General features: G+C 48.9%; 1 protein-coding gene across 1 annotated transcript in view; it reads right to left on the bottom strand.

Moving 5' to 3' along the window:
- The window catches only part of GARRE1 (granule associated Rac and RHOG effector 1), a 101,013-nt gene continuing 88,664 nt past the window's right edge, over positions 804 to 13,152 (bottom strand). The window contains exons 11-14 of the mRNA NM_014686.5: positions 8,328 to 8,493; positions 7,217 to 7,354; positions 4,778 to 4,856; positions 804 to 3,723 (exon numbers count right to left, since the gene is read on the bottom strand). Coding sequence (NP_055501.2) covers positions 3,415 to 3,723; positions 4,778 to 4,856; positions 7,217 to 7,354; positions 8,328 to 8,493 — 692 coding nt within the window. The 3' untranslated portion in view covers positions 804 to 3,414. The remainder of the gene's footprint in view (positions 3,724 to 4,777; positions 4,857 to 7,216; positions 7,355 to 8,327; positions 8,494 to 13,152) is intronic.

Raw genomic sequence — 13,152 nt, 5'->3', positions numbered from 1 at the left:
GTGGTGGGATTATAGGCGTGAGCCACAGTGCCTGGCTTTTTTTTTTTTTTGGAGACAGCCCCATCGTTCTGTCGCCAGGCTGGAGTGCAGTGGTGCGATCTCGGCTCACTGCAACCTCTGACTTCCTGGTTCAAGCGATTCTTCTGCCTAAGCCTCCTGAGTAGCTGGGATTACAGGCACACGCCACCATGCCCGACTAATTTTTGTATTCTTAGTAGAGATGGGGTTTCACCATGTTGGCCAGGATGGTCTCGATCTCCCGGCCTTGTGGTCCACCTGCCTCAGCCACCTACAGTTCTGGGATTACAGGTGTGAGCCACTGCGGCCGGCAGAGACAGGTCCTTCTTATCCCTGTAAGGCACAGTATCTCTGCCATAGATTGGGTCCCTGGTTTGGGAAGAGGGTAAAACAAGCCCTCATTCTTGGGTCTCGTCATTGGACAAGCTGGCTGGGCAAGTCACAGCATCCACATTTGGTGGAACATGGGTGTTGGTAGACCCCAACCCAGAGAGCTTGCACCCTTGCAGAGGACGTCTCCTTCACTACTGCACTGGCTCCCCCTGCACAGGGGCCTAAACCAGCTTGGGCCTTAGGGAAGCCAATAGGGGAGGCGTAGCTGCTTGTTCTCCCTCCTGCCCATCCACTTCAGCTCACCGTAATATCCCAAGTGGTCTTCCCCTTGCTAGAATCAGAGGACAGGCTGACCTAAAAACCAACTCAGTATGCAGCTTTTCAAAGCAATGAGTCAGGCAGGGCTTTTGACATAATGTCCTCTGCAGTTCATTTTAAACAAGGATACAAAGTATTATTAAATGTATATTTTTAATAAAGCCAATAGTTATTTTACTTATAGGAGCTTTAAAAGATACAAAATGTAGAGTTCCAGTTTGGAAGCATTGTAACTATACACACAATGTCCTGCTGATGCCCTAGCAAGGCACCCACGCCCAACCATGCAAAGGACACACACGTTCACACATGCACACACATGCGCTTTGGCGAGACCCCTCTGCCAAGCGCAGCACCTGGAATTACCAGTGTTCAGAGCAAGGCGGTGCCGGGAACACAGCACCTACATGGAGACCACACAAACGGCTTCACACAGTCTCACAGCCCATGGAGATGCAATTAGAAAATGTCTTCCTTAATAGAGAAAAACAAACTGGAAAGTGACAATTAGTGACGTCACCTGTGCTGGAGCATCAAGGATTGACCTCTGTCCAAGGTGAGGCCTTTGGAGAGGCACTATTAAAACATGAGTACTTCAGTATAATGGAACTCGAAATACAGGGTACTGTGGACACATTACTGAAGGAAATAGAAAACTATCTTACAAGTAGAACAGCCATAGACAACTTTAACAGAGATTAGTGTGCACACCGTGACAGCTAACACAGACAAGAGCCACGCAGGGTTGGTGCAAAGCACGTGCCTGAAAATGTCTATATACAAAACAGTTCTTTGTAAACATGGTGAGGTGAATGCTCAGAACCACGGCAAAAGATCATAAATACAGGCAGCAATGCATCCCCACACAGCACAAAAGACAACACCTGAGGCCTGGGAAGAGCCTGACAACACAGTACTAAAAACTCAGGTGGCTGGGCTCAGACACCCTACGGGTCCTCTCAAATTAGTGTGTGTGTTTACATACATACATACATACATATATATATATTCTTTTTTTTTTTTCTTGTTGAGACGGAATCTCACTCTGTCACCCAGGCTGGAGTGCAGTGGCACAATCTCAGCTCACTGTAACCTCCGCCTCCCGGGTTCAAGCGATTCTTCTGCTTCAGCCTCCCGAGTAGCTGGGACTACAGGCGCACGCCACCACACCCGGCTAATTTTTGTATTTTTAGTAGAGATGGGGTTTCACCATATTGGCCAGGCTGGTCTCGAACTCCTGACCTTAGGTGATCCACCTGCCTCGGCCTCCCAAAGTGCTGGGATTACAGGCGTGAGCCACCACGCCCAGCCTCTTTTTGGTATTTTTATATATAAATTTACTTATATCTGTAGAAAAACGAGAACATAAATGTGTTATTACAATCTTTGCTGGAAAAGCTTATATGGAGTTAGAAAGAATAAACCATTTATTAGTAGTTAACATATATTAAAATGGTTTAATGATTTAAGAAAATATAAAAAAAATATTAATACTGTCAAACTTTCATACCAGAAAATATTATGGATTTTTCTCAGACTTTTTCAAAGATGAAATATGAAAAATTTAAATAAGTTTTATATAAAGAACTTTCTGTAACCTCAATTAATATACAGTGGGATATGTCTATTCTATATAGATATATTTATTATTATTTCTCAATTTAAGCACCATTCAATTCTTCTGGATCCATTCTGGCTGGAAAATATCCCTAAATCCACAGGATGTTATCTATTTAATGGCACATGTTAACTGAAAATGAGGTGGATTTTTTTTTTAAGAAAAGACCTTAAATTAATTTCTATCTACATCTTAATTGGTTTGTCTTCTGAGCCAGCTCACAATGTCAATGCAATTTCTAGTGCAGGTGTCTCTGAGTGCCCCTTGACCACACCCCGAGGATTGTGGCAGTGTCCTGGCCATGTGTGGAAGGATCGAAGGGCAGCAGGTGCAGCCTTGCTCTGCACATGGACAGCAGCTGGCTGGTCCACCGCCACGCACCTTCAGCAGTGTACCTCCGGCACAAGTTCCACCATTCTGCTTCAATAAAGCTGGGAAAGGCCGCAGTCCCAGGGTGCTGCTGGGTGGCGAGGAACTGTCCACCCCCAGAAACCCCAGGTGACTGCTTCCAATCACAAATATTCTATATTTTGCCCATTTTGTATAAGCTTAAATATAGATAGTGTTAAACAAACCTCCAGCCAGTATATCTGTTATCTTAAAATATTCAATGCATTTTAGGCAGGAGATGTTTTAACTAAAAACCTACATGAAAAAAAAAGCTATAAAATACAGTGATTGGTGTGGTCATCACTCAAGGTGTGGAGGAGGGAGGAGAGGGTTTCCAAAAAATGGTCAGTTATGCCCTCAGCTTTCAGGCCTGATGTCTTCCCAACACACAGCAGGACTAAAAACCCAAGAGCTGTGTTTCTTCAAGTGTGGCTGTGGCGCCTGCATCAGAGTCACCTGTGGCGCTTACTAGGCATGCAGGTTCCCTAGCAAGCCCCTGAAGGCCAGACGCCTGTGTCTCCAGCTGGCTCTCCAGGGCTCTGATGCCATCGTTTCAGAAGCCAGGTTTAAAGGCTTGGAGCTGCCAACCACCCTTGTCCCCAAGGAACCCTCCCTGGGATGGGGCGCACTGGTCCTCTGAGGGGCTGGTGTCAGCTAAGTGGCCCTGGGGTGGGGACACTCATCCCCACAGCTCTGGGCGGGCAGGCAGGCAGGCAGGCAGGCTGGCTGGCCTGGGGTCAGTACTGGGGCAGATAGGCTGGCCTGCGCTCACCCTTCCCAGGGAAGGCCTTGAAGCCCTTGGGTGCTGCCTTGTGTGCTGGTGGGGGTGGGGGCTGGGGTGGGGTCTGCACATAGGAGAAGGCAGCGGCACTGCAGTCGTTGGTTGCGGCCCACACTGGGGACTGCAGCATCTGCATGGTGTCGTTCCACTGGCTGCCAGGGCTGGTGACTGCATAGAGTGGTGCGCTGGGGCTGGGCAGCGTGCTGGGAAGCGGGGAAGGGTGCTGCCAGGGTGCTTTGGGTGGCCACGTTTTGGTTTTGTTATCCTGAGAAACAAAAGAGAGTTCTTAGTGGCATTTCGGGCAATGTATCATCATTTCCCACCTCCCCAGATGCCTGGCCCTTATTCCCTCCTAGGAAGCCGGGTGAGAGCCCCACTCACTCCCACACCCCTGTCCAACAGAACTTCTTGCAATGATAGCCATGTTCTGTGCCTATACGGTCTAGTATGGTAGCCACTCGCCACATGTGACTAGTGCAAACTGAGGAAAGGAACTTTTTTTTTTTTTTTTTGAGATGCAGTCTGTCTCTCGCCCAGGCTGGAGTGCAGTGGTACGATCTCGGCTCACTGCAACCTCTGCCTCCGGGGTTCAAGCGATTCTCCTGTCTCAGCCTTCTGAGTAGCTCGGATTACAAGCGCATGCCACCATGCCTGGCTAATTTTTGTATTTTTAGTAGAGATGGGATTTCACCGTGTTAGCCAGGATAGTCTCGATCTCCTGACCTCGTTCGTGATCCACCCGCCTTGGCCTCCCAAAGTGCTGGGATTACAGGCGTCGCCACTGCGCCCGGCTGATTGTTTTTAAAAAGTATTTTAGAGGCAGTCTCGCTCTGTCACCCAGGCTGGAGTGCAATGGTGCAATCATAGCTTACTGTAATCTCAAATTCCTGGGTTCAAGCCATCCTCCTGCCTCAGCCTCCTGGGCAGCTAGGACTACAGGCATGTGCCACCATGCCTAGCTGATCTTTTAATTTTTTTGCAGAGACAGTGTCTATATTACCTGGGCTGGTCAAGAACTCCTGGCCTCAAGCCATCCTTCTGCCTTGGCCTCCCAAAGCACTGGGATTACAGGCATCAGCCACCACACCCGGCCTGAATTTTTATTTGTATTTAAATTTACATAGCCACATGTGGTGAATGGCTATCACACTGGACAGCACAGCCGTAGAGCTTCCTGTGGCTCTGAGTCAGCTGAGGTGGCTAATCATTTACACAAAATTAATCACCACAAAGAAGATCCCTCATTACTTTGAGGCCCTCTGAAAACTGCAGCTGTGGAAGCTAGCCCAAGTCTGTGCCCACAGAGCCTGCCTGAATACCTGGTTCACATCCTCCACCGTGGTGAGGAGAGGTGGTGAGGGCAGCGTGCTGGTGTCTTGCTCTCCACTGCTGTGTTTCCTGCAAGAACCAAGAGCTCAGGGCAGTGATTGCTTGGCTTCCTGCCCAGCCCACCTGTAGGGTACACACTAGTGCTAGGCTCCAGCATCTCCAGGCCCTGGTTCTAGGAGGGGAGGAGGCCTGCCTGGGTCAATGGCATAAAGGCGGCTAAGGGGAGCCAGCAGTGAATGACGGCGCTCCTGCACTGCCAGTGCAGGTGGAGGAGCTGGGGGTGGAGGTGGCAGGCAAAGACAGGCACTGGTTTACTCAGCTGCTGAGTCCACCTTCTTTGGCTTTATTATTATTATTATTATTATTTTATTTTTTTTTTTTTTTTTGAGACTGAGTCTCACTGTTTCCCAGGCTGGAGTGCAGTGGCATGATCTCAGCTCATTGCAAACTCTGCATCCCAGGTTCAAGCAATTCTTGTGCCTCAGCGTCCCGAGTAGCTGGGATTACAGGTGCGTGCCACCATGCCCAGCTAATTTTTGTATTTTTAGTAGAGATGGGGTTTCACCATGTTGGCCAGGCTGATCTCGAACTCCTGACCTCAGGTGATCTGCCCGCCTAAGCCTCCCAAAGTACTGGGATTGCAGGTGTGAGCCACCGAGTCCGGCCGGCTTTTTGTTAATTTATTTAAGAGATACTGTTTCCGGCCGGGTGCGGTGGCTCACGCCTTTAATCCCAACACTTTGGGAGGCCGAGGTAGGTGGATCACGAGGTCAGGAGATCAAGACCATCCTGGCTAACATGGTGAAACCCTGTCTCTACTAAAAATACAAAAAATTAGCCGGGCATGGTGGTGGGCGCCTGTAGTCCCAGCTACTTGGGAGGCTGAGGCAGGAGAATGGCGTGAACCCGGAAGGCGGAGCTTGCAGTGAGCTAAGACCGCGCCACTGCACTCCAGCCTGGGCAACAGAGCGAGACTCCGTCTCAAAAAAACAAAAAAAGAGAGAGATACTGTTTCCAAGCACTAAGGATATGTGACTTAAAGCCCATTCGTTTTACTAATCACATGAAAGTCTGTTACAAGGTTGAATGAAAAAGGCAGGATGTGGCCAGATCAGAGCCAGCACTCCTGCATGCAGACAACAGTCTCTGCAGAGATGGTGCCAGATGTGACTTCTTAGAAGTCGAATCAGTCATATGTCTGAAAGAAAAGTCTCAAACTCCACCCCCGGTTCAAACTTGCTCCTCCTGCAGGCTTAGCACCTCAGTTCATGGCGCCCTTCACAGAAACTCAGGCAGAAAACTTGCGTGTCATCCTTGACTCTTCCTACCTCACCCACACCCCACTGCCGATTCCCCACCAGTTGCTGCCGCACTTTGTTCAGCTCTCTGCTCATCAGAAGCCTCATTGACTAAGTGCTGGAAATAGAACATCCACCTGTTCTCTGCATTTACTACCCTCATACCCTGCTTTATTTTCCTTCAGAGCACCTAGCCTAACCTGACATGATTTTTTGTTTGATTTTTGAGACAGGGTCTAACTCTGTTGCCCAGGCTAGAGTGCAGTGGCACAAACACAGCTCACTGTAGCCTCAACTTCCCAGGCTCAAGTGATCCTCCCACCTCAGCCTCCCGAGTAGCTGGGACTACAAGTGTGGACAGAAAGCATCTGAATGTGTGCTCGTGATTGGTCAATGCCACCCCCCACCCCACTACTATTCTGTGCAAGTACCATTCTGTCTTCACCTACCCGCTCCCCACTGCCTATCTGACAGAGCCTGGCCTGTCCAGCAGGGACCAAGTAACCCGGCCTCCCACTCTGCTCTACAGCATGGCTTCGAGTGCCTGGGAGCCCTGCGTGCCCTCTACTCCTGCCCATGGTCCTTAGTCTGCCACCCTGACCTTGCTTTCTCATATCCACAGCAGTTTCTCTACTTATTTCTAACCAAGCTCTCCTCTCAGTTCAGAGCCCATTTTAATTTTTGTGACTACTTTTGAAAGCTAATTACTACTTTTCCCAACTTTGAAACGCCATTCAGAGGTCATTTTATCCATCTTTAATAAAGAGATGGAGGGTAATTGAGGGCCAGCCCCTTGTCTAGGGTTGCAGAGCCTGTTGGTGAGTCCAGATTAGAACTCGCAACCAAAGGCCTGCTCTTCCCACAGAAATGGGTGCCTCCTGCAAGGCACAGACCAGCACCGGCCACCCCGTCTCCCAAATTGATCTGCACAAGATGAGGCCGGCTCTTCCTTGTGGAAACCGCCTCCTGCAGGTGCTCTTCAGAGGCTTCAGCCAGGCATTGCTGGAAGAGCCCCTCCTCTCACACAGGGAGACTGGAGGTGACTGGGCTCCTGGCTTTCCCAGGGAGTGAGCCATGGGTTGCATTCACATGCCCTTCTCTCCCCACCTTGGTTTAGAAATCCCTTCATACCTTCTCTGCTTGACAGCAGCAACGAGGTCAGGCCCTGAAAACATGGAGAACAAGCTGTCCCCGTTGGCTGAGGATGTCTCATCACTCGAGCTGGCAGAGTCTCCCTGAGCACCCGACCAGCCACCGTGCAGGCCATCCCTGAAAGCCAGAGAGAGAAGCTGGGCCAGGGCCTCCTGCAGCCCCACCACCCGCCACCCCACCCTGAAAGGGCAGTCCTTACCCTGCATTCATCCCATAACCAAATAGTGGTCTCTTGTCTCTCCCTTCTTAAAACGTGAGGTTTTCCTCCTTTGCCTTATTTCAAAAGTAATACATATTCATCAATTCCCTTTATTCCTCTAAGAAGCCTATGGTTTGTATATGAAATTTGTTTTAGAAAAAGCAAGGGAGGGAGAGCATGGGGAAGAATAGCTAATGGATGCTGGGCTTAATACCTAGGTGACGGGATGATCTGTGCAGCAAACCACCATGGCACACATTAACCTTTGCAACAAACCTGCACATCCTGCACATGTACCCCTGAACTTAAAAGTTGAAAGAAAAAAAATTTTTAAGTAAAAAAAAAAATTTAAAAATAAGAAAAAACAAAAAGTTGAGCTGGTCTTTAGTCATCCAGATTTATTAACCATGTAGCAATATGGGATATAAAAAAATCCCCAGTTGTCTTTACAATAAAAATTTGCAATTCTCTCAATATACTAGAATCTCAATTGTACACTTTTGCTTTTCATAGGCTATAATGACAGCGTTCCATAAATCACGTGGGCTTCGCAGCCACACTCAGTTCAGTATAAAGGCCGTGTGAAACATGCCTTCACCTCACAAGCACCATCATGTAAGAGCCTTGTCTAGGGCTGAAGAGTCTGTTTTGAAAATCATGAATGTATACCAATGGCACGTTCACAGGGATACATCACACTACTTGGCATCTAACAGTCAGCCACATGACTCTGACCCCTAAAGATTTCATCCCATGTCACTCTCTCACATGGGGGCTTGGAATTGAACTGCCTGAAAAGAATGCACACAGGCAAGGAGCCTCTCTTCTCACAGGCCCCTCGGGGGACACCTGGGTCTCAAGCTCAGATTCCCTGAAGTACCCAGCACTCACCCTTCTGTGAAGAACTCGGGGAAGGGCCAGGTCCGATGCGCGTCATCCATAGGCGGCCAGTTGCCCCGGGGGTTGCCTGGCCGGCGACCGTGCTGGGCCTGCCGCTTCTGCTGCATCGCCTGGCTCACTCCTGCCACATAGCGTGCAAACTCTGGGTCTGAGCCCACTGCATTGGGACAAAGGAATAAACCGGGTTTGGGGACAAACTGGCCTCTTGGTCCTTCCCTACGCTTTGCTAACGTGCTGGTCACACATGCAATGAAAGGCAGTGAGGAGCTGCCAGGCTTGTGCCCCACAGCGTGGGCTGTAGGCTGTGCCCAGCACCCTGCTGTGGGGAGATGGGACTTGCCGCACCTAGGGCTGAGGCATGGTGTGTGCCAGGGCTGTCATGAAGGGCTATGCCTAGGATAGAGGCAGGCTAAGTGTGAAAGAAACAAAAAGAGAGAAAAATGGTTTGATTTCCCTACGACTAGATTTTAAAGACAAATACTAATTACTTAAAAAATTTCCAGCATCAGCCAGGCACAGTGGCTCACTCCTGTAATCCTAGCATTTTGGGAGCCTGAGGTGGGCAGATCGCTTGAGCCCAGAAGTTCGAGACTAGCCTGGCCAACACGGCAAAACCTCATCTCTACAAAAATTAGCTGGGTGTGGGCCAGGCGCGGTGGCTCACGCCTGTAATCCCAGCACTTTGGGAGGCTGAGGTGGGTGGATCACGAGGTCAAGAGTTCAAGACCAGTCTGACCAAGATGGTGAAACCCTGTCACCACTACTAAAAATACAAAAATTAGCTGGGTTCGGTGGCAGGCGCCTGTAATCCCAGCTACTCGGGAAGCTGAGGCAGGACAATCACTTGAACCCAGGCGGCAGAGGTCGCAGTGAGCTGAGATCGTGCCACTGCACTCCAGTCTGGGCGAAAGAGTGAGACTCTGTCTCAAAAAAAAAAAAAAAATTAGTTGGGTGTGGTGGTGTGCACCCGTAGTCACAGCTACTTGGGAGGCTGAGGTGGGGGGATCACTTGGGCCCAGGAAGTGGAGGTTGCAGTGAGCCAAGATTGCGCCACTGCACTCCAGCCTGAGAGACAGAGCTAGACCCTGTCTTTAAAAACAAAACAAAACAAAACTGGGCTGGGCTTGGTGGCTCACACCTGTAATCCCAGCACTTTGGGAGGCCAAGGCAGGTGGATTACCTGAGGTCAGGAGTTCGAGACCAGCCAGGCCAACATGGTGAAACCCCGTCTCTACTAAAAATACCAAAAATTAGCTGGACGTAGTGGCAGGCACCTGTAATCCAAGCTACTCAGGAGGCTGAGACAGGAGAATCACTTGAACCTGGGAGGCGGAGGTTGCAGGGAGCCAAGATCGCGCTATTGCACTCCGGCCTGGGTGACAAGAGCAAAACTCCAACTCAAAAAAAGTCCATTGTCTTGGTGCTCTGTATGTAGCCTAGAGTCATTAGCTAACAACTTCGAAAATCAGATGATGACTTTGGCCAACTGATAACCTGAACGTTAACAAAGCATCAAAGCATTGGGGTCAGCCAGATAGAGGTTATATGCTGATCCCACTTAAGCTAAAGTTTGATCTAGTATTTTCCTGGCTATTGACAGGAGATTTGCTCATTCCATCTGAACATCTTAAGTGTGGCAAAGAATAAAATGAAACTTCAGAATGCTTTAAGAGGTGGCTGGAAACACTGGCAATGCTGAACGGGGATATACAGGGCAGTACAAATGGGAGAAAAGCACAGATGGCGTTTACAGAAAGTGTCAAAAAAAACATATGGCAGGAAAGCATCCATGCATCATAAATCAAATGTGACTCAGCAATGCATTTTTTAGCTTAAAATTAGGGAAGATACTAGGGCACAATCCCATTATCAACTTATCCTTAGGGCACTGTCACAAGATGATTTCAGTCATGCTGGCCTGTCTCCCGTTCCCCATCCCGCACTGATTTTGCCTATCTAGACGGGGCCACTAGATGGCGCCCTCTGATTCTGTCCAGAGGGGTGCCCCTCCTTAATCTGCATCAAGGGCTATGCAGATCTTATGCCCTCGGGGCAAGGTCTGTAGAAAACTACACCATGGACTTCAGGTGCAGAAAGGAACACCCAGAAGGGAAAGAGTAGGATTTGTAGTCTACAGACAGAAGAGGTATCCAGGACTCAGAGGTCAAATATGATAACATTCTTATTCATTTATTAAAAATAAATCTTTTTTTAGACAAAGTCTCACTCTGTTATCCAAGCCGGAGTGCAGTGGCGTGATCTCAGCTCACTGCAACCTCTGCCTCCTGGGTTCAAGTAATTCTCGTGCCTCAGCCTCCCAAGTGGTTGGGACTACAGGTGTGTGCCACCACACCTGGCTAATTTTTTTGTATTTTTGGTAGAGACGGGGTTTCGCCATGTTGGCCAGGCTGGTCTTGAACTCCTGGCCTCAAGCAATCCGCTGGCCTCAGCCTCTCAAAGTGCTGAGACTACAGGCATGAGCCACTGCACCCGGCCTCAAATATGACACAATTCTGACAAATACTGTTTATACTCTGGATTTAGTTATATGACAGTCAAAAAATGTACACACCATCTATGATCAACTGAGAAAACGCACTGTGCCCACACCAGTGGGTGGCAGCCAGTGGGCTTGCTGTTTCTTAGCAGGATGGAGGTGTTTACCCTTCTTGTGGCCCAGGGTTGCAGGCACAAGGGTTTCCTACATCCATCCACCCAAGGGGAGCAAGCACAAAACAGCAAGAGCAGCGGCATGAAGAATTTTCAGAAGACATGAGCAATGGTCAGATGCAGTGGCTCATGCCTGTAATCCCAGCACTTTAGGAGGCTGAGGTGGGTGGATCACCTGAGGTCAGGAGGTCAAGACCAGCCTGGCCAACATGGCAAAACCCCATCTCTATGGGCGCGGTGGCTCATGCCTGTAATCCCAGCACTTTGGGAGGCCGAGGTGGGCGGATCACGAGGTCAGGAGATAGAGACCATCCTGCCTAACACAGTGAAACCCCGTCTCTATGAAAAATACAAAAAATTAGTTGGGCATGGTAGCGTGCGCCTGTAGTCCTAGCTACTCAGGAGGCTGAGGCAGGAGAATGGCGTGAACTCGGGAGGCGGAGCTTGCGGTGAGCCGAGATCGCGCCACTGCACTCCAGCCTCGGGGCGGTAGAGCGAGACTCCGTATAAAAAAAAAAAAAAATTAGCTGGGTGTGGTGGCAGGCACCTGTAGTCCCAGCTACTCAGGAAGCTGAGGCAGGAGAATCATTTGAGCCCAGGAGGCAGAGGTTGCAAGTAAGTGGGGATCGCGCCACTGCGCTCCAGCCTGGGCAACAACGTGAGACTCTGTCTCAAAAAAAAAGAGAAAGGAGTGTTAACCCCAGCATTAACTTCCCTCCTGTAACAAATGCTGGGTGTTTCAGCAAGGAGTGTCCTCTTTTTTTTTTTTTTTTGAGACGGAGTCTCGCTCTGTCGCCCAGGCTGGAGTGCAGTGGCGGGATCTCGGCTCACTGCAAGCTCCGCCTCCCGGGTTCACGCCATTCTCCTGCCTCAGCCTCCCAAGTAGCTGGGACTACAGGCGCCCGCCACTACGCCCGGCTAATTTTTTTGTATTTTTAGTAGAGACGGGGTTTCACCGTTTTAGCCGGGATGGTCTCGATCTCCTGACCTCGTGATCCGCCCGCCTCGGCCTCCCAAAGTGCTGGGATTACAGGCGTGAGCCACAGCGCCCGGCCTGGAGTGTCCTCTTATGGTGGTGATTTACTTGTACAAGTATTTGCTATACTTATTTGTAACATTTCACAGTACTCCCCTGTGAATGAAATACATTTTCTACTTCTGTGTATGCCTTTTGCTAAATTAGAGAAAAAAGTTTGCATGTACCTATGTTACCAAATTCTCTTACTAATTTTAGATGGTTTTTTTTGTGGGGGGGGTTCAATTCTATTATCAGCAAAAAGATGTGCTGCTTAATTTATCATTTTCCAAAGCTTAGACCACTTATTTTATTGCTTTTTGTCTTGCTGCATTTGCTGTGAAGTCCAAGACAAAGTTACATGCTACAGGTGATAACAGTCGCCCTTGTCTGATTCCTGATATTAACTGAAATGATTTTTGTTTCATTATATAAGGCACTATTTGCTATTAGCTTTTAGTAGATAGTCTTTTTTATTTTTTATGTATTTACTTATTTTTTAGAGACAGAGTCTTACTTTGTTGCCCAGGCTGGGCTGCTGTGGTGTGATCATGGCTCACTGCAGCCTCAACCTCCTGAGCTCAAGCGATCTTCCCACCTCAGCCTCCCAAGGAGCTGGGACTACAGGCATGTGCCACCACACCCAGCTAATTTTTTATTTTTTGTAGAGATGGGGGTTTCACTATGTTGGCCAAACTGGTCTTGAACTCCTGGCCTCAGGCAATCTGCCTACCTCAGCCTTCCAAAGTGCTGGAAATTACAGGCATGAGACATCATGCCTGGCCAGGTTTTCCACTTCTTGGTATAATTTTGTAATGCCTATTTTGCTAGGAAAGAATCCATTTTCTGCTGAATTTCCAAATGTATTGCTATTAAGTCTTAGATGGTACTGTCTTAAAGTGGCTTTTTTTTGAGACAGGGTTTCTCTCTGTCAGCCAGGCTGGGGTGTAGTGGCATGATCATAGCTCACTGCAGCCTCAAAATCCTGGGGTCAAGGGATCCTACCGCCTCAGCTTCCTAAGCACCACCACACCCAGCTAATTTTGTTTAATTTTTAGTAGAGATGAGGGTTTTGTGATGTTGACCAGGCTGGTCTCGAACTCCTGGCCTCAAGTGATCCTCCAGCCTTAG

The sequence above is a fragment of the Homo sapiens genome, chromosome 19 (genome assembly GCF_000001405.40).
Source record: "Homo sapiens chromosome 19, GRCh38.p14 Primary Assembly".
NCBI lineage: Eukaryota > Metazoa > Chordata > Mammalia > Primates > Hominidae > Homo > Homo sapiens.
This window is presented reverse-complemented; position numbering and strand designations above follow the sequence as displayed.